The following is a 25,719-nucleotide window of genomic DNA, read 5'->3' on the forward strand; positions in this document are numbered from 1 at the left end:
ACTTGGTTTGTCTGAGACAACTGTTAAAATAAACTTACAGTCTCCAATAACACCAACAGGCTGCCTGGAGAGGGGAGGATGGGGTGAGTATAAGAGGGAAAGGTGAGCCCAGTGGGCATTAAACTGTGGGTTGACTTCCAATTGTCTACCCTGCAGCTCAGGGGCTGGCACACAAGAGCCTGTGGGCAAAATCTGGCTGCCTGGTTTTAGAAGCCTCTGGGGCAAAAAATTATTTTTACATTTTTTAATGTTTGTAAAAAAAATAAAAAATAAATAAGATGAAGAATATGCAGCAAACTATATGTGGCTGGCAAAGCCCAAAATATTTATCATCTGGCCCTTCACCAAAGAAGTTCAGGGCAACTGCTACAAACTTCACGCTGCAGAAAATGTGTCTGTTTTCTTTTAGTATATTCTCAGTCTTTTCAAAGACAGTCACCTGGGGGCACATACCACTCCCTCTTATTACAGTGACTATTCCACAATGGCCTCCATCACATCTCTTGCCCCATCTGCAAGCATGGGCCACTCCTTTTATGTGTAGGGAGGAATAAACTAAAGAATGTATAGCCCTTAGTTCAGTGCCTGGCACATGGTAAGTGGTGAATAAGAGCAAACTGTCATGGTGAATAAGAGCAGTGCCACGGTTAGGGCCAGACAGTCCGGGAAGTGTGTCCTTGCTCCACTGTTGCTAGCTGCATGATCTTAGGTCAGTGTTTATCACTATGAGCCTTAGTATTCTTAGTATTGTACCTGCTTCATAGGGAGTGAGGATTAATCACAATATGTCAAGTGCTTGATAGAGCACCTAACAAATGTTGATGTGAGATGGCACAGGTTCCTGGAACTGGGTAGGACTGGGGCCAGGTTGGGGGCTCACCAGGCTGCGGTCCTTACTTGATGGGGTAGGTTTCATCCTTGCGCCTCTGCTTCTCATGTGGAGGAAGTGTTTCCCAGCCGAAGGTCAGGCTCCAGTCAAAGTTGCCTCGGCTATGGACTCTGCCCCTCTGGACGGGCTTGGCGAACTCAAAAGTATTAAGGTCGATGGTGACGATGTCTGGGCTCACCACCACTGTCTTGTCCTCAGCGATTCGAGCCAGGAGGGGCTCCAGCCAGCCGTGGAAGCACTCACCTGCAGGCCCCAACCAGGAGGCAGCAGTCAGGGCCCTGCCCACAGCAGAGCCCAAGCTGCATCCTGGAGGGAATGCCCAGGAGGATAAGAGACAGTCCACCTACTCCTGGGTTACAGGCAGCAAGCCCCACAGCTACAGGGAGCACACAGAATTTCCTAAAACCCTTCTACCACCCCTCTACCCCCAAAGGCGGAGGCAGCTTTGGCAGGGAGAATGGAGGTCTCAGGGGAGTAACATGGTCAACTCAGATGACCCAAAAGCACAGGGAGGCCCTGGATGGTATCTTCCGGGGTTCCAGCCGATCCATTGGCCCAGCCCTCCGGGCCCACGTGTGGATTTCAGAAGAGGGTGTTCCCCCTCCCAGGGGCATCCGCATGTCAAGCTTCAGCCCTAATTGTAGAAGAATAATCTCTTTCATTTGTCTAGCTCCTTGAGATTTTCAGTGAGCTTCTGCACGTATTATTACTTCATTCGGCCCTCAGAGTAATATTTCTGTTCAGTAAGGTTAGTATCCTCATTCCTATTTTATAAATGAGGAAACTGAGGCTGTTAGTGGGGCAGGGTCAGAATGCAAACCAAGAATTCTGACTCCAAGACTAGAGCTTCCCCTAATATATATCACCACTCCTAGGGAAAATATTTCATCCTCCACAACAGTGGGGAAGTGTTTTGGTTTTGGGCAAGAAGGAGGCCTTCCTGGCTCCATGTTGCCCTAGAAGAAAGCCCCAAACAAGCCAGTTCTGTCATAGCAGGAGGCCTCTCTGAGGGGCCAAGCTCAGAGCAAGGTGCAGATGGGAGTACAGGGAGGGATGAATGTCCGGGGCCCCGGTGATCACTGGAAATCACTTCCAGTGATTTTGGGGTCACCAGTTGTTTTAGGGATGTTTGTCTTCTTGATGAAACATCCTTGGGATTGGGGTGAGAAAGGGGTAGAGGCACCTGGAGTGGGTCCCAAGCCTCCTTCACTCCCGGAAGAGAGAACAGGAAGGGGCCTTGGGGAGGCTGTGGCCCTGGCTCATTCTAGCAGGGAGGGAGCCTCCAGGTTACACCCAGGCCGGTGCCCTGGTACTCACAGTGGGCATCCAGGAACGTGAGCACCTCCGCCTGTGCCACGCTGGCCCCCAGCAGCCGGGCGGTGATCAGCCCCTTCCGCTCCTCCTGCCGCACCACCCTCACCACCTGCAGCTGCTTCACGTACTGCTCCAGCTTCTCCTTTAGGTGCTCTGGAAGGGACAGTGTCATTGTGGCCAGTCCACCACTTTGCTGTATACCCAATCCCCTGTGGGCACCAAGCTAGGGGCTCTCAGGCCTCTAGCAGGCCTGAATTTTAAACCCCCAACACCTGCTGTACTGAGCCATTCCACAGAAGCCGGAGCTGGGGAAGGAGGTTAACAGGGAAGATGGGGAGAGGAAGAAAGAAGCCCTGTCTGTGGTCAAAACTGCCTCACCAGGGCTCTGGCTCTGTGGTGCTAGATCCTATGCCTGTTCACCTGGGCACCCTCTCTAATGTCAGGGACAGCACCTCAGAGTTGTGTTTCTGTGGTCACGTATCAAGTACAAACTTTTTGTTGTTGTTGTTGAGATGGAGTCTCATTCTGTCACCCAGGCTGGAGTGCAATGGCGTGATCTTGGCTCACTGCAACCTCCACCTCCTGGGCTCAAGTGATTCTCCTGCCTCAGCCTCCTGAGTAGCTAGGACTACAGGTGTGTGCAACCATGCCTGGCTCATTTTTACATTTTTAGTAGAGATAGCATTTCACCATATTGGCCAGGCTGGTCTCGTACTCCTGGCCTCAAGTGATTCGCCTGCCTTGGCCTCCCAAAGTTCTGGGATTACAGGCATGAGCCACCACGCCCGGCCCAAGTACAAAATTCTGACAGAGGCTCTCAGATGCCTCCCTCAGTTTCTCCACCCTCTCAGCCACCATCTTCCAGAGCTGCAATTCCACAGCTCCATTGCACGGTTGTTTTCCAGTGTCTAGGATTCCCTGTCTCCCAGGCTCTTCACGGTAACGTCGATGGGTGGGCATACACAAATGGTGACTCCTTGCTTGCTGGATCAGCAGCAGGACATCTGACTCTAATCCCCTTTGTAACCTCCTCTGCAGATAGAATTCTTTAAGGTGAAAACATGCCCAGCAGCTTTTTAATTATATTAAGAAAATACTTGCACCAAGCACCTACCACGGACCAGGCACAGTGGCGAGCCCAGCCGGCTTGACCATTTGTCCTAAGGAACAAACCACCCAGAAGCAAGGCTGACCAGGAAACAGGCAATTCCAGGGCAGGTGATCCATGATCTAACAGAGGTAGTGCTGGGGTGTGGGTCCCAAAGAAGGGCCAAATCTCCTGGATTTGAGGAGCGGGGAAAGCTTTTTGAAGGGAAGATGTCTCTACTGAGACCTCCAGCTCCTTTCAAAGAAGAGTTTTAGTTCATGGCCCTGTAATTTAGTCTGAAATCCTCAGAGCATTAACAATAGCTCTATTCTGGCTGGGCACGGTGGCTCACTCCTGTAATCCCAGCACTTTGGGAGGCCAAGGCAGATGGATCACTTGAGCCAAGGAATTTGAGACCAGCCTGGCCAACATGGTGAGACCCTGCCACTATTAAAAATACAAAAATTAGGCCAGACGCGCTGGCTCATGGCTGTAATCCCAGTACTTTGGGAGGCGGAGGCAGGTGGATCACCTGAGGTTGGGAGTTCGAGACCAGCCTGACCAACATGGAGAAACCCTGTCTCTACTGAAAATACAAAATTAGCTGGGCACGCATGCTTGTAATCCCAGCTACTCGGGAGGCTGAGGCAGGTGAATCGTTTGAACTTGGGAGGCAGAGGTTGCAGTGAGCCGAGATTGCACCATTGCACTCCAGCCTGGGCAACAAGAGCGAAACTCCGTCTCAAAAAAACCAAAAACAAACAAACAAAAATTAGCCAGGTGTGGTGGCGCACACCTGTAAACCCAGCTACTCGGGAGGCTGAGGCAGGAGAACTGCTTGAACCCAGGAGGTGGAGGTTGCAGTGAGCTGAGATCATGCCACTGCACTCCAACCTGAGTGACATAGCAAGACTTGTCTCAAAACAAAAAACAAACGAAGAATAGCTCTATTCTGAAGCAGTCCATCTTGAAACATACCGAATTCCAAACCTTACTATGTTTTACTAACTGCCATTTTGGTTTATCTCTGCCACGGTTCTGTTCTGTGCAGAATGGAGTTGCCTGCAGTTTCAGATGTGGGGGACAGATGTGACAATTGTGTGTCCTTTTCCTTTTGGACTGTGGGATCAGCCCAGAGCTTGGGCCTTGCTCTGAATGCAGCATTCTACAAACGGCAGGTCCTGAAATTAAGCAGCTTAGGGGGTTGCATGCAATTGATCTCCCACAAATGCACGCACACAATAACCCAGCACTGAGCTGGAGTGTGTGCCGGTGTGGGTGAGGTAGGTGTCTTCATGGTGACTTCTTTATTTAATCTTCTCTATGATAGTTAACAACTCTATGAAACAGGGAGTATTGTCCCCAGTGTTTATAGATGGGGAAAGTAAGACTCAAAGTGACTAGCCCAGGGTGGCAGAAGCACAAAGGGCAGCAGCAGGATCCTAGCCAGTCTGCATGTGAGGACTCCCCACCTTCTCCCTCCAGGGGAAGTGAGGCCATGGAATTTTTTTTTTTTTTAATTTTTTAATTCTGGAGCAGATTAAGATCAGAAGGCCAAGGACTTAATGCACCTGAGTTTCAAGGTGGTCTCTTGACCACCAGTGAGGCCACGGACTTTTTTTTTTAAATTTTTTTATTCTGGAGCAGATTAAGATGAGAAGGCCAAGGACTTAATGCACCCGAGTTTCAAGGTGGTCTCTGCTTCCTCTCGCAGTCACCCAAGGCCTTGCCATTTCCCTGTGTGTGAGATCCCGGGAGGGAAAGGGAGAGAAAGGGGTTTGTTGAAGCTGTTCTTTAGTCACTGTCCTGGAGAGTGGCGCCTAGGAGAAGGAAAGTCTCTATAATTTGGAATTTCAGCTTTTTCCTTCTTTTTTTTTCCATGTTTTTTTTTTTTTTCTTCTTTTTTTTGGAGACAGAGTCTTACTCTGTCGCCCAGGCTGGAGTGCAGTGGTGCAATCTCGACTCACCACAACCTCCACCTCCTGGGTTCAAGCAATTATCCTGCTTCAGCCTCCCAAGTAGCTGAGATTATTGGCACCTGCCACCACGCCCCGCTAATTTTTTGTATTTTTTGTGAAGATGGGGCTTCACCATGTTGGCCAGGCTGGTCTCGAATTCCTGACCTCAAGTGATCTGCCCGCCTCGGCCTCCCAAAGAGTTGGAATTACAGGCGTGAGCCACTACGCCCCGCCCACTTTTTCCTTCTTCAATCCTACTGGACAGACAGGTGAGGTGATTATGACATGGCGCTCATTTATGAATGGATTCTTCAGGCAGTCATCTGAGGAGGGGGCTGTATCTTACTTAACTCCAGGAATGAGGCCTCTTATCTCTGGGGGCCAGGACCTCAGGAATCAAAATCAGCCTCATGCAGCAGCCTCAGCCCAGCACTCACTCCACAAATGTCTGTCAATGTGCTGCCAGGTGCCAGATGCTGTTCTGGGAAGGGAGGGGCCTGGTCTGGGTCCTGCCCTTTGAGACTCATAGTGCACCTGCAGCCCCGGGTGCTGGCCCTGACAGGAAGGAGGGAGGAAGCCCAGGCTCCTCAGCATGGCTGCTGTGTTTCCCCGAGAGCTTGCCCAGCTCTGCGCACAGGAAGTTCACGGTAGTGGAGATAACCCACGGACAAAACATCATAGGAAGTGGGTTTTGTGGTGAGAGACAGTGAAGCACTGAGCTGTGAACCTCAGGGGGGGCCCCGAGCACTACAAAGCCCTTCTCCCACGCCTTCCTTCCAGTCTGGTGAGGCCAGACCCAGGGATTCTCAGCCTGAGAGGCTTCCAGCCTCTGGCCTCAAGCCCTTCTGGGGAGACAACTCCCCTAAGCAATGCCCCTCGTGATACTCCACCTGTTCCACCCCCAGACCTACTGGACAGACCCAGAACTGAGGAGACTGGAGCTGAGCATAGCTGTACCGGTGAGCCCAGCCACACACTCATGTCCCCGCCGTGACAGCCTTCCAACTTAGGTTCAACACCCCACCACCCCAACCAGCTTCACTCCTCACAACTCAAGTCCACAAGACCCCTGGGATGCCAACACAGACACCGCACTCAGTTCCATGATCTGAAGTATCATGCAGATGGCTCCCAGGGATTCCTTCCTGACCTTGCCATCTTCACTTGGATGTGGAACAAAATGGAAAATTCAACATATGCCCAAAACAGGCTCTGAATTTCCCCTGCAAATCTGCCCCCCAGTCTCCCTCACGTCAGTACACGGTGCCAGCATCCCTCCAGCTGCTCTAACCTGGAAGTCATGCTAGAATCCCCCCTGCTGTCCCCTTCCACAATCAGCACATCTGCAGGTACTGCCAGCTCTCTCTCTCATCCCCACAGTCACTGCTTTTCTGCCTTCTATACCACTCTCCTCAATCTATTCTTGACACGGCAGCTACTGTGAGAAGTAAAATTCTCTCTAAAAATCATAAATCAGATCATGTCACTACAGCGGCTTCAAATTGTATTTAAAAACAAATCCATGGTGTTTCCTTATGGAAAGGTATGATGGTTCCTTAAAAAAAACTAAAGACAGAATTACCATATGATCCAGCAATTCCACTTTTGGGCATATACCCTGAAGAGCTGAAAGCAGAGACTTGGATATTTGCACACCAATGTTCACAGCAGCATTAGTCACGATAGCCAAAGGCAGAAACAGCCTCAGTGTCCATCAGCGAATGAACGGACAAACAAAATGTGGTGTATACATACAATAGAATAGTATTCAGCCTTAAAAAGTAAATTCTGGGCCGGGTTTGGTGGCTCACGCCTGTAATCTCAGCACTTTGGGAGGCCAAGGTGGGTGGATCACCTGAGGTCAGGAGTTCGAGACCAGCCTGACCAACACGGAGAAACCCTGTCTCTACTAAAAATTCAGAATTAGCCAGCACGTGCCTGTAATCCCAACTACTCGGGAGGCCGAGGCAGGAGAATCACTTGAACCCAGGAGGTGGAGGTTGCGGTGAGCCAAGATTGCGCCAATGGGCAACAAGAACGAACTCCATCTCAAAAAAAATAAAGTAAATTCTGACAAATGTTACAACATGGATGAATCTTGAAGGCATTATGCTAAGTGAAATAAGCCAGTCACAAAAGGACAAATACTGTATGATTCCACTTATGATAATCAAATTCATAGAGACAGAAAGTAGAAGGGTGGTTGCCAGGGGTTGTGGGGAGGACAGCGTGGAGAATTCATGTTTAATAGGTACAGAATTTCAGTTTGGGATGACAAAAAATAAGTTATTGGCTGGTTGTGGTGACTCACGCATGTAATCCTAGCACTTTGGGAGGCTGGGAGTTCCAGACCAGCCTGGTCAACATGGTGAGACCCCATCTTATTAAAAAAGGGAAAAAAAAAAGTTCCGGAGATGGTTGCACAATAATGTGAATGCATTTAAAATCAATAAACTGTGGACTGAAACCGTGAAGATGATACGTTTTATGTCGTGCCTTTTACTACATACACACATGAAAAATCCAAACACTGTCGGTGGCTTACGGAGGTCTCACAATTTGGTCCCGCTAGCCTTTTAAAAAATTATTATTATTATTATTATTATTATTATTATTATTATTATTATTTGAGATGGAGTTTTGCTCTTGTCGCCCAGGCTGGAGTGCAATGGTGTGATCTCAGCTCACTGCAACCTCCGCCTCCGGGGTTCAAGCAATTCTTCTGCCTCAGCCTCCTGAGTAGCTGGGATTACAGGTGCCCACCACCATGCCTGGCTAATTTTTGTATTTTTAGTAGAGACGGGGTTTCTCCATGTTGGCCAGGCTGGTCCCAAACTCCTGACCTCAAGGGTTCTCTTGCCTCGGCCTCTCAAAGTGCTGGAATTAACAGGCATGAGCCATGGGCCCGGCTCCTTACACCCACTCCACCAGCACTCTTTCTGCTCCCTGGCTTACTTTGTTTAAGCCACACTGTCTTCTTTCTGCCTCATTAACAAGTCAAGCCTCAGGCCTCTGTGTTGGCTGCTCCCTTTGCAGGGAGTACTAAGAGTAGTCTTTCCTGGCTACTCCGGTGAAAAGAGCTCCCTAATTACTCACTCACTAACCCATTGCCCTGCATTCTTCTTTTTTTTCCCTCTAATTTAGTTAAGCTGGTGGAGTGTGCCAGACAGGGAGGGAACCCTGGCTGCTGACCTAGCCACTCAGGAATGAGGTCTGTGCCCTGGTTCTGACTCAGAGGTGGGGAAGAAAAAGCTCCCCAGCTCAGCACGCGGTCTCCTCCCCCATGGTATCAAATGCCCTTAGACTCACTCTCATAGGGCTACTACTGGGTGCCTGGAGTGGAGGTCAGAGAGCAGGGACATTGTATTTCGGCAGAGACACAGTCCTGTTTGTGTGTGTGTGTAATGAGAGCTGGTTAATCTGATCAAACAGTCAAACGTGTGGGAAATTTTATCCCACTGTGGACGGCAGAGATTTCTGACCATGGATCTGAGGGTTTTTTCCTCCTTTCCTCACTGAACTGAATGTTGCTTAAAGTATCTCTAGCGTCTGAAAGCCCTCTGGGTAGGGTTGTTTATCATAGGGTCCACAAATTCCCTGGAATTAAATGCAAAAATGTGGGTTTTGCATATTATTGTGGGCAGTGGTGCACTATTCTAGGGATTTTAACAGATTCTGAAAGGATGCCAGGACCCAGAAAAATAAGAATGACTAGCTTAGGTTTTTCAGGCAGGTGATTGTTTTGTTTTTGTTTTTGACACAGGGTGTCGCTCTGTCACCCATGCTGAATACAGTGGCATGATCAGGGCTCACTGCAACCTTGACCTCCTGAGTTCAGGTGACCCTCCCACCTCAGCCTCTCGAGTAGCTGGGACTACAGGCACATACCACCATGCCCAGCTAATTTTTTATTTTTTTGTAAAGACAGAGTCTTACTATGTTGCCCAGGATGGTCTTGAACTCCTGGGCTCAAGTGATTTTCCCACCTCAGCCTCCCAAAGTGCTGGGATTACAGGTGTGAGCCAGTGCGTCCTGACCATGCAGATGATTTAGAGATGCTGGAATTGGCCTTTGGAGAGAATTGGCTTTAGAAGAGAGTCCAGGGCAACAAGTCCAGGACAGACAGAGAGAAGGTGAACGTGTATATGGTGGCCTGCTAGGGGCGGGTGCTCTGGAGGGGATACTGGGGCTACTGCCAACTCTGCCCTACTGAACACAGGCTACTCTGCCTGTTAGATGCTGCCTATGCCAGCCTGGCATTATGTCACTTGTCTAGCTAGTCAGAGGAGTTGCCTACCTGGGCACTTGCAGCTCACAGAGTCACAAAGTTTAGGGTGAAAAGTTAACAGTTTAGAACCCCCACGTCCAAGGCTACGGGAGCCCACCTCTTGCATCAGCGTGACCTGGATGTGAGACACGAAGTCAAAGGAAATCACTTTGGAACTTTAAGGCTTAATGAATGCCCTGTTGGATTTTCGATTTGCATGGGGCCTGTAGCCCCTCTGTTTTGGCTAATTTCTCCCATTTCAAATGGTTGTATTTACGCAATGCCTATACCTCCATTGTATCTAGGAAGTGACTTAACTTGCTTTTGATTTTACAGGCTCATAGGGGAAGGGACTTGCCTTGTCTCAGATGGGAGTTTGGACTTGGACTTTTGGGTTAATGCTGGAATTAGCTAAGACTTTGGGGGGACTGTTGGAAAGGCATGATTGTGTTTTGAAATGTGAGGACATGAGATTTGGGAGGGGTTAGTGGTGAAATGATATGGTTTGGCTGTTTCCTCACCCAAATCTCATCTTGAGTCGTAGGTCCCATAATCCCCACATGTGATGGAAGGGACCCAGTGGGAGATAATTGAATCATGGGGCAGTTTCCACCATGCTATCCTTGTGATAGTAAGTTCTCACGAAATCTGATGGTTTTATGAGGGGCTTCCCCTTTTGCTCGGCTCTCATTCTTCTCTCTCCTGACACCTCATGAGGAAGGACATGTTTGCTTCCCCTTCTGCCATGATTATAGGTTTCCTGAGGTCTCCCCAGCCCTGCAGAACTGTGAGTTAATTAAACCTCTCTCCTTTATAAATGAGAATGGACTAATACACTCCAGTACAAGAGATTCAGGTGAAAGAGCTTCCGAAGGATGGGTAGCATAGGGTTAGGAGGAGAAAGATAACGAAAGAACCCAGTTTGAGAGGAAGGACCGCTAATATGCTTGCTTCCATTCCATACAACCTTTCCATTGCTACAAAGATTCCCTAGAGATCACTGCCAAGCTCCTCCCATCTCTGCCAAACTCTTCACCCTTCCCTTTCCAGAAGCCTAATCTATACATTCCTTGTCCACCAGACCCTGTCATTGCATCCCTGATACTTGCTTGCCTTGATTTATTTATTATTTTTTTTTAGAGACTGGGTCTCACTCTATTGCCTAGGCTGGAGTACAATGGTGCAGTCAAGGCTCACTGCAGTCTCAGCCTGCTGGGCTCAAGCAATCCTTCCACCTCAGCCCTCCAAGTAGCTGGAACCACAGGCACATGCCACCGTGCCCAGCTAACTTTTCTATTTTTTATAGAGATGGGGTCTTGTGACATTGCCCAGGCTGGTCTTGAACTCCTGGCCTCAAGCAATCCTCCTGCCACAGCCTCCCAAAGTTCTGGGATTACAGGCATGAGCTACTGTGCTTGGCCTATTTTACTTTATTTGTATCTTTTTTAGAGACAAGGTCTCACTCTGCCATCCATGCTGGAGTGCAATGGTGCAATCACAGCTCACTGCAGCCTCAATTTCCTGGGCTCAAGTGATCCTCCCACCTCAGCCTCCCAAGTAGCTGGGACCACAGGCAAATACCACCATGCCTGCTAATTTTTTATTTTTGTAGAGATGGGATTTTGATATGTTGCCCAGGCTGGTCTGGCCTTGCTTTATAAGTGCTGCCAAGTATCTGTCTTCCCTGGGAAGATGTGAGCTTCCTGAAGAAATGAACTCAACAGGGCTCACACTCAGCCCTTCCTTCCACAGCCCTAGTCCTCTTTTCAGCATCACCCCTAACCTAGAGGAAGGAGGGAGGCTGGGGGAGGACAAGGACAGGAAGCAGCTCTACTGGAGTGGCCCCAGCGCTTACACTGGGAAGTGTGGAGTCAGTTCCTGCCCTCACTATTGGGAGTTTGAGCACAGGAGGTCAATCTGGGAGAGCCCCAGACACCACATGCCTCCTACGAGGAGGGCTAAGCTTGTGGAGACTCTCAGCCTAAAGGTGTCTCAGTCCCACAGCCTTTCCTAGTTCAGGCCCCATCATCTCCTACTCTCAAGTGAGTGTAAGAACTTCCTCTCCAGACTGTGAGTCCTCTGCCTCTCTTCCTGCCGATTATCCTCCTCCAAAGCTGCCATCCTTCTGAAATGAAGTCACAGTACAGATGAAACACTTTCAACGACTCCTTCTTACTTTCTAAATAAATGCTTTTAGCATGACATGAATGTCAATTCAACATTTTTTTTTTTGAGACAGGGTCATGCTCTGGCTCAGCCTCCCGAGTAGCTGGGACTACAGGCACATGCCGTCATGCCAGGCTAATTTTTGTAATTTTTATAGAAAAAAGGTCTTGACATGTTGCCCAGGCTGTCTTGAACTCCTGGGCTCAAGTGATCCACCCGCCTCGGCCTCCCTAAGTGCTGGGATTACAGGGGTGAGCCACTGTCCCTGGCCAATTTAACATCTTTTAAGTCTCATTTCCTAAACAAACCTAAGCTTCAGCCACACCAGATCTCTTTAACAAACACATTCATGTCTTTAGGACTGTGCTTATGCCATTCTCTTGTGGGAATGCCCTTCATCCACTCTTCTCTCTTAGACACTCATCCTTTAAGGCCCAGCTCCAATCTGGCTTCCACTGCAGACCAGCCCTAGCCACGCCAGGCAGAAATGGCACCTCCTGGCTACATACTCCATGGTGCATTGTTCTCGTACCATGAATAAAATGGAATGCATGCTTGTGACACTCTTACTTGATGCCAGCCACTCTGTGGCACATGAATCTCATTTATGACCTATCTCATATCCCTCACCCACCATGTAAGGGACTCAACTGCTCTTTTTTTTTTTTTTTGAGATGGAGTCTCACTCTGTAGCCCAGGCTGGAGTGCAGTAACATGATCTCGGCTCACTGCAACCTCCGCCTCCTGGGTTCAAGCGATTCTCCTGCCTCAGCCTCCCGAGTAGTTGGGACTACAGGCATGCTCTGCCACGCCTGGCTAATTTTTGTATTTTTAGTAGATACGGGGTTTCACCATATTGGCCGGGCTGTCTCGAACTCCTGACCTTAAGCAATCTGCCTGCCTCGGCCTCCCAGAGTGCTAGGATTACAGGCGTGAGCCACCACGCCCAGTCCTTTTTTTTGTTTTGTTTTTTTGAGAAGGAGTCTCACTCTGTCTCTCAGGCAGAAAAGCAGTGGTGCCATCTTGGCTCACTGCAGCCTACGCCTCCCGGGTTCAGGTGATTCTTGTGCCTCAGCCTCCCGAGCAGCTGGGACTACAAGCGCGCACCACCACACCTGGCTAATTATTTTTTGTATTTTGGGTAGAGATGGGGTTTCACCATGTTGGCCAGGCTGGTCTCAAACTCCTGACCTCAAGTGATCTGTCCGCTTCAGCCTCCCAAAGTGCTGAAATTACAGGCTTGAGCCACTGTGCCCGGTCTGCCCCCATTTTTTGAAGAGGAAACAGGTTCAGGGAGGCCAAATGCTTGTCCAAGGTCACAGAGCTAGGAAGGGTCAGAGCTGGGATTTGAATTCCTAGGTGTTGGACTCTGCAGTCCATGCCCTTTCACACCTGTTACAGGTGCATCACTGCCACAGCACTGTGGCTAGTGTTGTAAGAGGCTTCTGGCCGGGCACGGTGGCTCATGCCTGTAATCCCAGCACTTTGGGAGGCTGGAGCAGGCAGATTACCTGAGTTCGGGAGTTCGAGACCAACCTGACCAACATGGAGAAACCCCATCTCTATTAAAAATACAAAATTAGCTGGGTGTGGTGGCACATGCCTGTAATCCCAGCTACTAGGGAGGCTGAGGCAGGAGAATCGCTTGAACCTGGGAGGCGGAGGTTGTGGTGAGCTGAGATCACACCATTGTACTCCAGCCTGGGCAACAAGAGCGAAACTCCATCTCAAAAAAAAAAAAAAAAAAAAGGCTTCTGACCTATGGGGGTTTTTAGTATTTTCAGGGCAGGGTCTGTCTCCTTTGTCATGGCATCCCCTCTGCCTGGGTCAGAGCCAGGCACACAGTACTCAGTAGATGTTTGTGGAATTGAAGGCTGGAAGTTTGGTGAGCAACCCCACTTACCTATCAACAGCTATGGCAAAAAGGGCTGGTTGGGGAGTCTTCAAGAGCAGAAGAGTGGCCCAGCGGGTAGGAAACAGAGGTGAAGGCCTGTCCCTACCCTCTGCCCTGTCTCTCCCAGCATTTCTGAGTTAGGGTTGGCCTTGGCAGCGTTCAGGGAGTCTTGAAGCCAGAGCTGAAAAGCTCTTGGAGCTCTTTGGCTGAGGTGTGAAGGAAGCATGGTCTACCTGCCCCTACCTGACTTCTTCCTGCTCCTGGCCTTTAAGATGAGCTGTGATGTCAGGCAACAGGCTCATGAGGTGGTGCCTGCTCCCTTGAAAGGAACTGCCCTCCTCCTTTGAGTGCCCAGGGGAGACCCCGGCCCCCTCCTCTGGGCCCCTCCAGCCTCACCCTCTGTGCTGGCATCATCCACCAGTATGATCTCCTTGAGCAAGATGGCAGGGGTGGTGTGTAGGACGCTGTACACTGTTCGCAGCAGTGTGGACCAGGCTTCGTTGTGGAACACAATGATCACGCTGGTGGTGGCCAGTGGGGGGCAGCGCCGGAACTTCTGGTCCACACACCTGGAAGTATGAAAGTACGGACAAAGTTCTCCTGGTCCCTGGGAGTACCAGGTGTGGGGAGGGCCCCATCCAGAGACTCCCCCAGACCATCCTCCACTCCTCTGAACCACAGCCTACATTCTCTATAGCAGGTGGGAACAGCTGTTCCCTGTTCCTGTCTTCCCCGGTATCTGCCACCCACCCTGAGCCTTTGCACAGGTTCTAGCCAAACCACTCCAAAATCCATCCCCACAGAGCTGGCTCAGTGCCCCAGCTGTGATGCTGAGGCTCCTCCACCCCCTTCCTTCATCTGCTATCTGCTCTCAGGCTAGGAGTTCCCAGGGCTGGCTCTCTTCCTCCGTAATATGTGAACTGCATAAAATGTAATCCAATCCAGAGGTCCCAGAGGGGTAGGTAATAAAGGCCAAATTTGACATCTGAGAAAAGTGACTATGATTTCCATACTCAATGAGAAGAAAAGGCTCTTCCCTTTACAGCGTACAGTTCCTCTCTAATCCATTTTCTCATTAACTCCCTGTGATTTGACACCACTATCACAGTCAATTTCCTGCAACCTTTCTTCCAACTTCATCCACTCCAGCTACTCTGTGGCACTTGGCCATGCTGCTACCTTCTTGACACTCTATCTCAGGGTTGGGGTGGGAATGTGTGAATCCTGGATCTCAAGGAATCATGTGACCTCACACCCTTTCCTTGACCTCCTCTGCTGGTCAGAGGATTTCTTGGGGACCCTCCAGAGAGATTCCCTGTCTTCCTCCTCTGGCTGCTGTCACACCCAGTGCTCTTCTCTCTGTCTGTTTTTTTTGAGACAGAGTCTTGCTCTGTCACTCAGGCTGGAGTGCAGTGGTATGATCTTAGCTCCCTGCAACCTCCACCTCCCAGGTTCAAGCGATTCTTGTCCTTCAGCCTTCTGAGTAGCTGGGATTACAGGCACCCACTACCATGCCGGGCTAATTTTTTTGTATTTTTAGTAGAGACAGGCTTTCACCATGTTGGCCAGGCTGGTCTTGAACTCCTGGCCTCAAGAGATCCACCCACCTCAGCCTTCCATAGTGCTGGGATTATAGGCATGAGCCACTGTGCCTGGCCCCAGTGCCCTTCTCTGCTGAGGAATTCCTGATAGCTTCAAGTGGCCCCTTGTTCTAGGGCTATCATACTTGGCTCAAGTCTCAAGAACCTCAGGTTCACAGCCCTAAAGACTCACGAAATCTGGGGATGAGGGCTGCCATTTGAGAAAAGGCCAAATAGGGTATAACACTTGACCTGGAAAAGACAAAGGCTAAGTGGGGAAGACACACTGTCTTTAACTTGAGGATCATGGGAATGCAGCCATGGGGGCGTTAGAGGGAGGGGGCTGCCACTCAAAGATCTAAGTGAGATCTCATTGTGCAAGATTGAGGCTATAAACAACTTCAGATAAAGGTTGGAATCAATTCCGGCCTTGTGGGCCTTCACTGGAGGAAACCAGGTGTGAGGATATTCCTAACCACCAGGGTTGCTGTTAAGAAATGCCCACCCCCCCCCCAAACAGCTCAGCATTAGAGTCCCACAGTCTCTGGAGCAGGCCTCAGTAGAGGAGAAAGCTACTGAAACCACAGCTTGGTATCAGGTCTCCCCAGTCACCCCGTGCCAGGTCCTGGTGCCAGGCTGAGTTCCTTCTTCCACATCATCTCACTTTCATAATTGCATTTCACTCTCACAGGTCTCCCTGGGCCTCTGGCCTGACCATAATACCCTTGAATCACAACCCCTGGGATCAGCACAGTTGTTCTGGGAAAGAAGTGAGGCATAGAGGAGATCCTTGCCCATATTATAAAATTCCCTTCAACTCTTTCTCTGGCCCTTGATCTATGGCCCTGGCCATACTAGCCATGCCTTTAGCAAAGCCCTGGTCTCCCCACAAGGACTCTGGGTGCTACTTACTCAGGTGGTCGGGTGTCTGGCCCCAGGGACCTCTGCAGGGAGATCCGGTCGCTGGCAAAGGCATTGAAACAGTGCTTCTTATAGCCTTCTTCCTTTTCCTGGGTCTCCAGGGGGGTCCACTTGCTCTTCTGAAATGCTTTTCCATCTGCCCCAGGGGCATTGGGGTCCTGTGGTGGCCGTTCCCAGAAGGGCTTCAGTTCAGCTGGGGTATAGAACCCAGGGAGGCAGGACTGGTTTATGGAGAACAGAGTCTGCTGGGCTTCTGGAGCCCTGATTTGGAGCTTGGGCATTGAATCTCTAAGGTTGTTCATGGCCTCCAGCATGAGGTCCAGGACGTGATCCTTCCGGCTCACCAGGGACTTCAGCCACGGCTTCTCTGTGGCCTCCTCTCTGCTGCTCACATCCCTATGCAGGAGGAAGAGGAAGAGCACAAAGGCGCAGCCCACCATGGCCAGGCGCAGGGGCATGTGGCGTCTGCGGAGGAGCCTCATCCTCCAGAACCAAGGGGCACCCCAGCTGCGTCAGCTCTGAGTCCTGAGCCCAACCCTGGAGATAGCTTGATACGTTGTGGTGGCCACAAGCTGGGGCCTCAGCCTGAGAAAGGAGGGGACAAGAGAGAGAAGTGAGCCAACACAGGGTAAGGAGGGAGTCGGGTGCTTGGGGTTCGAGGCCAGGCTCTGTTGCTGAGTGGTGGCATCACCTTATTGGCCACAACTTTCCCATATCTACATTTCCTTCATCCATAAAATGAGGAGACCGGAGGCAGTGTTTCTTTCCTGCCCTAAGATCCTAATATGCATGGATCTAGAGTCACTGGAACACTGAAACACTACATGAGATTTAATCATTAAACTCATGAGATTTAATCATTATGGCTTTGGGAAACAACTTGGTATTATCAAGAAAAATTTGAAATGAACACAGCCTGAGCCAGCAATTCCACTCCTCATTTTATATCCCAGACAAACTCTGGTAGATGCAAACCAAGAGGTATGTACAAGAACATTTAAGCCAACACTGACTTAAATGGCAACAAACTGGTAAAACCTTTAAGTCCACTAGCAGAATGAATAAATAAAGTGCAAAATACCCATACCGTGCAGTGCTCTACAGTGATGACCAAGAATGAACCACTTCTCCATGCAACAATGTGGATGTGTTGTTGGGTGAAAAAAGCAAGTGACAAAAGGATACATACAGTATGATTCCACTTATAGAAAATGTAAAAACATGCTAAAATTAAACAATATCTTGTTCTTGAATACAAATATGTGATAAAGCTATAAAGAAAGCTAAAGAAGACTAGCCTGGCCAACATGGTGAAACCCTGTCTCTACTAAAAATACAAAAATTAGCTGGGCGTGGTAGCGCATGCCTGTAATCCCAGCTACTTGGGAGGCTGAGGCAGGAGAGTCACTTGAACCCGGGAGGCAGAGGTTGCAGTAGGCTAGGATCATGCCACTGCACTCCAGCCTGGGCAACAGAGCAAGACTCCGTCTCCCCACGAAAAAAAGAAAGCTAAAGAAATGACATAACCAGTTTCTGAAGATGAAGAAAACGGTACAGGATTAGAGATGGTTAATGGGGGACTTCAAAGTGTTTTTTTCTCAAAGTGGATGGCGGCTGCTGGTGGACTGTAATTCTTTAGACCCTATACGTATTTTATAAATATTTCTTGGCCAAGCATGGTGTAATCCCAGCACTTTGGGAGGCTGAGGTGGGAGGATCGCTTGGGCCCAGGAGTTCAAGACCAGTCTGCTCAACGTATTGAGAGCCCATCTCAATAAAAAATTTTAAAAATTAGCGAGGCGTAGTGGTGCACACCTGTAGTCCTAGCTGCCTGGGAGGCTGAAGCAGGAGGACTGCTGGAGCCCAGGAGGTTAAGGCTGCAGTGAGCTATAATCGCACCATTGCTCTTCAGCATGGGCGAGAGAGAGATTCTGTCTTTAAAAATAAATAAATAAAAGTTATCTGTAATCTACTCCTATTTAATAAAAAAGAATTTAACAGAAACCTAAGATTTCATGACAAGACATTCCCGGCAGGGCTGGGCATGGGCGTTCACCAGGCTCCACCCCCAGGCATGTGGATCCATGCCCTAGAGGATGAATGCTTGCAGAACTTTCTGTGCAGAGTTCTGGACACATAAGCTCACTGGTTAAGCACTAGACATCAATGGCAAGGGACCTGGGCACAAATTCCAGTTCTTCCTCTTCTAGTAGTAGCACCTACCTCCTAGGGTTGTTACAAGGATTATGCTCCTTCCCCACAAAATTCATGGACAAAGCTTAGCAGTCTCTGCACATGGTAAGTTCCCACAAAGTGTTAGTTTTGATCATTAGCAGCTGTGTGACCCTTGGGTAATTTACTTAATCCCTCTAAGCCTCAATTTCCTCATCTATAAAGTGGGGGCAACTAATACCTAACTCACAGGGTTGTGGGGAGGATTAAATCAGATAATGTAGGTAAAATGTTTGGCAGAGCACCTGTCACACTAAGCCCTCAATAAATGGTATCAACTATTTCTATTATTATGATAAATCCCTGCTTCACTTCCCAGCAGTTATCCTCAAGCACCTGGCCCTTGGCCAAAGCCACGTTCATTACTCCCTGCATGTTTTGCTTAAAAATAACTCTGGTTGTACTATTTAATGCTATTGTTTAAACGCACAAGCTCCTGCCTGTGGAGAGGCCTGGTGTCTGAGACCTTGGGAGTATGTGGCCATCGTGATCTCAAGTGGGGAGGTGGATTCATTCTGGACTGGGGTACAAATGTGGCTTCTTTTATAACATCAGATTCAGCAGCACCGTCAAAAATCAAACAAAAGAAATCTCTTTGAGCATCTATTTTGTATTAACTATTGTCTAGGAGATAGGAGAGATTTGTTTATTCCACCAGTATTTACTGAATAACTGCCTCTACCAGGTACTCTGCAAGAGGCGGGGGACACAGAGAAGTGCAAGGCCAGCCCTCAAGGATCCTACAGTCAATTGGGGGCATCAGATTTTAAACAGAGATTACCCTGTGAGAAGCAGAATCAAAGAGGTACCCTTGAGTGCTGAAGGAGCCGGCATGCAGGAAACTCAGCAAATGGGGGAGGGCAACATCTGTGAAGAAATCTCACGGGGGCAGAAATGGGCCGAACACTAACTGGCGAGTAGGAGTCAGCGAGGCGAGGTGAGCACATTTCAGGCAGAAGGCACAGTACCTGCAATGGTCTAGAGGTGGGAGACAGAAGAGCCAGTCACAGAACTGTAAGCAGTCTGGTATGGCAGGAGTAGCAGAAATTGGGCCTACAGAGGTGGCTGAAACCAAGTCCTAAGGGCCTTGTTCATCATGCTGAGGAGCATTTGCCCTTGACCCAAGGCATGGGGAGTAATAAAGCGTTAAGCTGGGAGCCCAGCATTACAGGAAGAGCAATATGACAGCGGTGGAGGGTATCTTGGAAAGGGACCTGCTTGGCAGCTGGATGACCCATTCGGAGTCTGACCCAGGAGAGTTAGTAGCAGTGTGGATGGAAGAGGGAGGGTATGGTGCCTAGGAAGACCCCCTTGGGTGATGGGGTGGGACAGTTTACCCCGTCTGGTACACAGAGGGACACAAAGGCTCAATTCCTTTCCCCAAGGGATTTGAAAATCTTATTGGAGAACGAGAACTGATAGCACTGACCAGGTGAAGGAAGCACCTGACCAGGGGAGATTCAGGAGCAGGAAAAGGACCTTTCACTGAATACTCTTTTGTACTTTGAACCCTGACTATATTACTTATTCAAAAATGAATAAAATTAAAGCAGAATAGCACAGACAGTAAGAGCTAAGCTGAGAGAGGTAGAGTTCCCTGTGGGTTTGAGGAAGGCTTCGGGGAGGAAATGGGGATTCAGTGTAGCAGGAGTTTCTTGTCACAGAGGTTGAGCTATGCTGGGGCTAGCACAGGGGGATTTGCTTGAGCTAGACACCTCATCAGTTCTGGAACTGTCCCGGCTAAGCCCACACAGAGGCCTGCAGAATGGGGGAGTGTTTGCCATGACAGCTTTGAACCGTCCTGCAGGCTTCGTCTTCCCTGCTACTTTCCATCTACCTTCCCACTCCAGCAAGAAAGAGGGAGCACAGTTAGAAACAAAGGCATGGTAAGATTGTAGTTACTAACTGTTGCCAGTGCTCAAGACTCACCCCCTCCAGGAAGGCCTCCTGACTGATTCACTCAGAATCACCTAGGTTACTCCAACTCTTTCATCCTGGCACTGCCTCGTGGTCCCTCACAGCAGGGCCTGTTTTTGCTTCTTTTATTTTCCCTGGAGAAAGAAATATAGGGTTAAATTGAGCTCTTCCTAGGCATCTAATCTCTCAATCCCATCTGGCTGCCTGAAGCTTTCTCTCTCAAACCTACAGTTCCTCAAGGTACTAACCACATCCTGAACCGAAATGAGACACCTGGGATTAGCCTTGGTGGTGAGGCACTCATTCTCTAGTTTGTTTGCTTAGCATGAGGGCAACAGGAAGAGTCCCTTAGAAGAGACACAGAATCTAGTGCAAGCCACAGGACTTTGGGGTTAAGGATTTCTGCTCCCTGTGTAGGAGATGATTCCCAGAAGTATGGTTAGCAAGGTCGTGGAGGTCGCCCCTCCACCAGCCTTGGAGAAAGAATAGCTGCTATTCTTTGCTATTGTTTCAAGTACAAAGCTTCACGAGATCCGCCCCTGGTGTCTTGTATATCTCCCTCACCTTTGGGCTCCCACACCTGGCCTCCTGCTTTCCTGGCAAGTGTGCCCGCAGCCCCCATCCACTCATTTCCCTCTCGCTGTGGCTCAGCACTTCTTCCCAAGTCTTTTTCCTCCAGCTACCCTTGGGCCTGCAACTCTTTGGACCATCCTTGGCTTTGATCCCGAGATGATGCCAGAAATCCTCTCTGAAAAGCCTGCCTAGATTGAACAAATGGGATTTGCTTCCCTGGCCCCACCGGCCAGAACACAAACTTACCTTCTCTCACTGGTGTAAGGAACTGAGGCTTTACCCAGCCCAGCTTGTATCAAACTGCTGATTACAATCCACTGTGATATTATAAAATAAATTCAGAGTGTTGCAAATTAGCATTCAAAAATTTCTTTAAAAGACCAGTTAGGACCAGGCACAGTGGCTCACACCTGAAATCCCAGCACTTTGGGAGGCCATGGTGGGCAGATCACTTTAGGCCAGGAGTTCAAGACCAACCTGGCCAACATGGTGAAACCCCTTCTCTACTAAAAATACAAAAATTAGCCAGGCATGGTGGCATGTGCCTGTAATCCCAACTACTCAGGAGACAGAGGCAGGAGAGTTGATTGAACCTAGGAGCTGGAGGTTGCAGTAAGCAGAAATAGCACCACCGTACTCCAGCCTGGGTGACAGAGCAAGACTCTGTCTCAAAAAAAAAAAAAAAAAAAAGACCAATTAGCAAAAAGAGACCAGTTAGCTGGGTGTGGTGGCATAGGCCTGTAATCTCAGCTACTTGAGAGGCTGATGCTGGAGGATTGCTTGAGCCCAGGAGGTTGAGGCTGTAGTTAGTTATGATCATGCCACTGCACTACAACCTAGGCAATAGAGCGAGACCCTGTCTCAAAAAATAAAAATAAATAAATTTTAAAAACCCAGAATAGAATGAAAAGAAAATATCAAAGTGCATCATGTATCACATGTAACACAGGCAAGTATTCGTTTTTTCTTTCTTTCTTTTTTTTTGGAGACAGGGTCTCATTCTGTTCCTTAAGCTGGAGTGCAGTGGTGCAATCTCAGCTCACTGCAGCCTTGACCTCCTGGGCTCAAAGGATCCTCCTACCTCAGCCTCTGGAGTAGCTGGGACCATAGGTGTGTGTCATCAAGACCGGCTAATTTTTATTTTTTGGTAGAGATGGGGGTCTCACTATGCTGCCCAGGCTGGTCTTCAACTCCTAGGCCGAAGCAATCCTCCTGCCTTGACCTCCCAAAGTGCTGGGATTACAGGTGTGAGCCATCATGTCCAGCCTGAAAAGTAAACTTTTATTTTAATGTTTGTTTCAGTCTATTAAAGATACACACTGCCTGATACAAAATTAAAATGATAAATTTGTTATTCAAAATTCATACAACTAAAGACAAAAGAAGTTTAAATGATTCCATTTTCAAATGATAGTTTTTATGGTTTGCAGAATTTATGCTTGTAATGTGATTAAATTATAAAACTGCCCTAAGATTTTTGGGATGCCCTGTCACATATACACAGGTACCGGGTCTCGCTATAAAGTATATTTCTCACTTTGGTCAAGTCATAGAAGTTTGAAAGCCAGTGACACAGTCCAAACCCCACAGTTTATATTCTAGCCCCCCTCCAAAAAGCCTTCTCAGATCTCCCAGCAGAATTCATCTCTTCCCTGCTTTGCCCCCTTAGCACCCGATTTTTATTTGTACTCCAGTCTCATCACAGCCCACCCTGTGTTTATGGACTCCTGGACCAGAGAGGCCATGCCATTTCCAGCTTTTTATCACCTACAAAGTCTAGCACAAGTTTTACATATAGCAGGTGTTCCATAAACTTTTTTTTTTTCTCTTGGAGACAGGGTCTCACTCTGTCACCCAGGCTGAAGTGTAGTGGCATGAACACAGCTTTCTGCAGCCTCGACCTCCCAGGCTCAAACAATCCTCCTATCTCAGCCTCCTGAGTAGCTGGGAATACAGAGGTGCGTGCCATCAGGCCTGGCTAGTTCCACAAACTCTTGTTAAATGAGATGAGGTTGGAAGGGTTAAATGTGGAGCACTGGCTTCACTAAATGATGTTCTGAATGAACTTACTGCAAGAAATACTTGACTTACAGGATATTCTGCCATTACACATTAGCTTGCTGTTTTGACTAGGTCTGTCTGTGGGTCTAACACCCTCATTTTATCAACGGCGAGGCCAGAATGGTTAGGTGACTTCTCTAGCAACACACAGCTAGTGGCTCCCAGGAGTAGAACCCGATCTCTCAACTCCTAGACCACTACTCTGTTTACCACACTCATACCCGTGGAGGTTGAGTAGGGAATTTGGGGACCAGGCCTGTCCTCCCTGAGCCTCCCCGACTCCACCCTTTGATCCCCTTCCTGGCATTTGCCTTCCTCCCACTCAAGGATACAAATGCTTTAAAGATGTGGAGACTGGAAGTCCCAGGCAGCCTTAGCTTTTGTGAATGTCAGAGTCAGCCATCCAGAACATGCCCTAGCTTTCCAGGTGGCCTCTTTGTAACAATGTTTCTTTCTATTTATCAGGTGAGCTGGTCACCTCCTTAGACGTGGCAGCAGGAAGCAAGCAGTCCTTACCACAGCGATATTTGCTCAAGTTACTCAGAGGAGGGCTCAATTACAAGTTTCTTTGGAAAGTGATAACTGTCACCACTCTTACCACGGGCACAGGTGTGTGGAGCTAGACATCATATTGGGGAGGGGGCAGGTTAATTTCACACTACTGTTGGGGGAAATGGGGCTGAGAGGCTGTTTGGCCAAATGACCGTCCTTTCTTCCTCATAAGCACTTTCTCTCCATCAAACACAGCACTCATCTCAAGTCCTCTGTACTCATACTGTGAACAGAAGAGCAAATTATCTTCTCCAAAGCCCTCCTCCCACCCCTGACCCTTTTGATCACAGAATGTGGGAGGTTTTTATTTTTCCCCGTAATTACACCTTCAAGACACTTCAGCTTTTCTCCAAGACTCAAGCTGCAATACTGTGGCTTATTTTCCCAGGAAGATACGCTGAAAATTATTTCTGTAGCTAGTCTGTCAAGTTCCCCCAACATATCAAGGTTCATTTTATGTTTGCATAATTTTTTTTTTTTTGAGATGGAGTCTCATTCTGTTGCCCATACTGGAGTGCAGTGGCGGGATCTCGGCTCACTGCAACCTCCGACTCCTGGGTTCAAGCGATTCTCATCCCTCAGCCTCCCGGGTAGCTGGGATTACAGGCGCCCGCCACCACGTCCGGCTAATTTTTGTATTTTTTTAGTAGAGACAGTGTTTCGCCATGTTGGCCAGGCTAGTCTTGAACTCCTGACCTCAAGTGATCTGTCTGCCTCGGCCTCCCAAAGTACTAGGATTACAGGTGTGAGCCAATGCATCCAGCCTGTTTGCATGATATTTTAAGCTTAAATTACCCAAACATGGATTTTCTATTGAAAAACTCAACCCAACTTTGCTCACCACTGTATACCTAGAGCAGCGCTTGGCATGTGGTAGGCACTTGGTTAATATTTGTTGACTTATTCCAAGAAAAAGTCACCAAAAATCAAAATAATATGCCACCAAACAGGAGGTTCAACAGTTCACAGGTTTTTCACTGGAGACCCTGTAGGCCCTTCCAGGTGGGGCAGGGGTGTGCAACGGTTTATCCCTAGGAGTGCAGAAGTGGAGGGAGGGTTCCAGGTGGAGATGAGGTGGGATTCTCTAATCACCTAGAAGCCTTGGTGACAACGAGACTGGGCTTGAGGGGGAGAGTTGGGGGAAAGGACAGAGAAGGGACAGGGAAGTGATGAGAAGGGTGGAAGACAGGAGGGGTATTCCCGAAGGCCTCTTGGGCCAGTCTTCAAATTGGGAAGGGGGCTTAATGGGAGAGACTAGAATTGAATTTTTCCTTTTCTCCTCATCCCCCAGTCTGCTCTTGGCTGCAGAACTTTCACCCGGGGCCACTGGCTACTCAATGTACCATCCCCTGGGCTCAGGGTCTGTGCCCAGCCTCCTCTGCTAGCCAGCCTGCCCAATTTCCCCATTGCTGCCAGAAGCATTGAAGTCCGTGAAACAAGCCAGCCCCTGTCCCACTCTCAGACAGGTCGTTTTTAATCCTGTCTCAATTTCAGGTTCACCCCACACCCGCTCCCAAGTCCTGCTGATTCATTCCCTGCCTCCGGGTTCCTCACTGTCCTTTCTGCTTTCAAAACCTTCATTTGAAATTGGGCCTTTATCAACTAGCATCTGGAGGATCAGCAGGAGCTGCCTGCCAGCCTCCTTTGCCTCGGGCCCCTCTCTCTCTTTCACAATCAGGACAGCCGTATTCATATTCCTTGAGCACTGTTTGACTGTGGCAGAAACACAGAGGGGCTGGCCGGGTTGCTTCCTGTTTGCTGCTCACCCTCAAGCCCAACCAGATGCTTGGCACTCACTGGCTATCTTTTCTTCCTCAAAGCCTTTCCCTTATATTCTTGCTAAGCAAGCCATATTTCTTTTCTTTCAAATTCTTACCAGAGACTCCCCTCTTTCAAGAAGGCTTCCTAGACTAAGGTGCATCTTGCTGCCTCAGTTTCTAGGTGTTATTTGTTCCCAAGTTTCTCTACTACCCGTGCTTTCCTTACGTGGGATTTCCCCACTAACTATCATGGAGAAGGGAGAACCAACAGGCCTAGACGGTAGACCACCTAGATCCTATTTCCTTCTCCTTCCCAATCCTTGAGTCTTGGTCCCCAAACTTCTGTCTCCAGAATGTTCTTCCTGACCAATCTACCTGGCCTTCCAATCCCTGTCGCATCTCTCTGCCTTGAGATGTATGGCAATGCTATTTTGCTAGTCTGTTCTTCATTCTCTATTACGTGCAGAGTTGAGGACTGGGTTGCTTTCTTCCTTCAAATCTCTACCTAGGCCTTAGGACCAAGTTGTTCAGGGTACGAGAGAATAAGC

The 25,719-nt window shown here is 48.9% G+C and overlaps 1 protein-coding gene across 21 annotated transcripts in view, besides 6 other annotated features; it reads right to left on the bottom strand.

The window, feature by feature from the left end:
• The window catches only part of GALNT6 (polypeptide N-acetylgalactosaminyltransferase 6), a 40,422-nt gene that overhangs the window by 11,972 nt on the left and 2,731 nt on the right, over nt 1-25,719 (bottom strand). For 7 of the 21 annotated variants that reach the window (XM_024448815.2, XM_024448811.2, XM_047428178.1 and 4 more), the window contains 6 exons: nt 20,238-20,359; nt 19,090-19,286; nt 16,068-16,661; nt 13,972-14,144; nt 2,207-2,356; nt 898-1,132 (listed from right to left, as the gene is read on the bottom strand). In XM_024448815.2, coding sequence (XP_024304583.1) covers nt 898-1,132; nt 2,207-2,356; nt 13,972-14,144; nt 16,068-16,558 — 1,049 coding nt within the window. In that variant the 5' untranslated portion in view covers nt 16,559-16,661; nt 19,090-19,286; nt 20,238-20,359. The remainder of the gene's footprint in view (nt 1-897; nt 1,133-2,206; nt 2,357-13,971; nt 14,145-16,067; nt 16,662-19,089; nt 19,287-20,237; nt 20,360-25,719) is intronic. The other 14 variants (XM_005268607.2, XM_017018745.3, XM_047428176.1 and 11 more) reach the window with 3 other exon arrangements.
• Nucleotides 6,103-6,252: an enhancer, noted in NCBI's record as "active region_6379". NCBI's record gives its function as "activates an Ori minimal core promoter by ATAC-STARR-seq in GM12878 lymphoblastoid cells {active_cell/tissue: GM12878}" and the evidence as "EXISTENCE:reporter gene assay evidence [ECO:0000049][PMID:35858748]".
• Nucleotides 8,091-8,657: an enhancer, noted in NCBI's record as "NANOG-H3K27ac hESC enhancer chr12:51765098-51765664 (GRCh37/hg19 assembly coordinates)". NCBI's record gives its function as "activates a minimal SCP1, AML or CMV promoter by ChIP-STARR-seq in primed H9 embryonic stem cells {active_cell/tissue: H9 hESC(primed)}" and the evidence as "EXISTENCE:reporter gene assay evidence [ECO:0000049][PMID:30033119]".
• Nucleotides 16,030-16,531: an enhancer, noted in NCBI's record as "H3K4me1 hESC enhancer chr12:51773037-51773538 (GRCh37/hg19 assembly coordinates)". NCBI's record gives its function as "activates a minimal SCP1, AML or CMV promoter by ChIP-STARR-seq in naive H9 embryonic stem cells {active_cell/tissue: H9 hESC(naive)}" and the evidence as "EXISTENCE:reporter gene assay evidence [ECO:0000049][PMID:30033119]".
• Nucleotides 16,532-17,031: an enhancer, noted in NCBI's record as "H3K4me1 hESC enhancer chr12:51773539-51774038 (GRCh37/hg19 assembly coordinates)". NCBI's record gives its function as "activates a minimal SCP1, AML or CMV promoter by ChIP-STARR-seq in naive H9 embryonic stem cells {active_cell/tissue: H9 hESC(naive)}" and the evidence as "EXISTENCE:reporter gene assay evidence [ECO:0000049][PMID:30033119]".
• Nucleotides 24,784-25,283: an enhancer, noted in NCBI's record as "H3K27ac hESC enhancer chr12:51781791-51782290 (GRCh37/hg19 assembly coordinates)". NCBI's record gives its function as "activates a minimal SCP1, AML or CMV promoter by ChIP-STARR-seq in naive H9 embryonic stem cells {active_cell/tissue: H9 hESC(naive)}" and the evidence as "EXISTENCE:reporter gene assay evidence [ECO:0000049][PMID:30033119]".
• Nucleotides 24,882-25,176: a silencer, noted in NCBI's record as "tiled region #14751; HepG2 Repressive non-DNase unmatched - State 10:DNaseD, and K562 Repressive DNase unmatched - State 5:Enh". NCBI's record gives its function as "represses a minimal TATA promoter and a strong SV40 promoter by Sharpr-MPRA in HepG2 and K562 cells {active_cell/tissue: HepG2 | K562}" and the evidence as "EXISTENCE:reporter gene assay evidence [ECO:0000049][PMID:27701403]".

Source organism: Homo sapiens, chromosome 12, assembly GCF_000001405.40.
Source record: "Homo sapiens chromosome 12, GRCh38.p14 Primary Assembly".
Taxonomy (NCBI): Eukaryota; Metazoa; Chordata; class Mammalia; order Primates; family Hominidae; genus Homo; species Homo sapiens.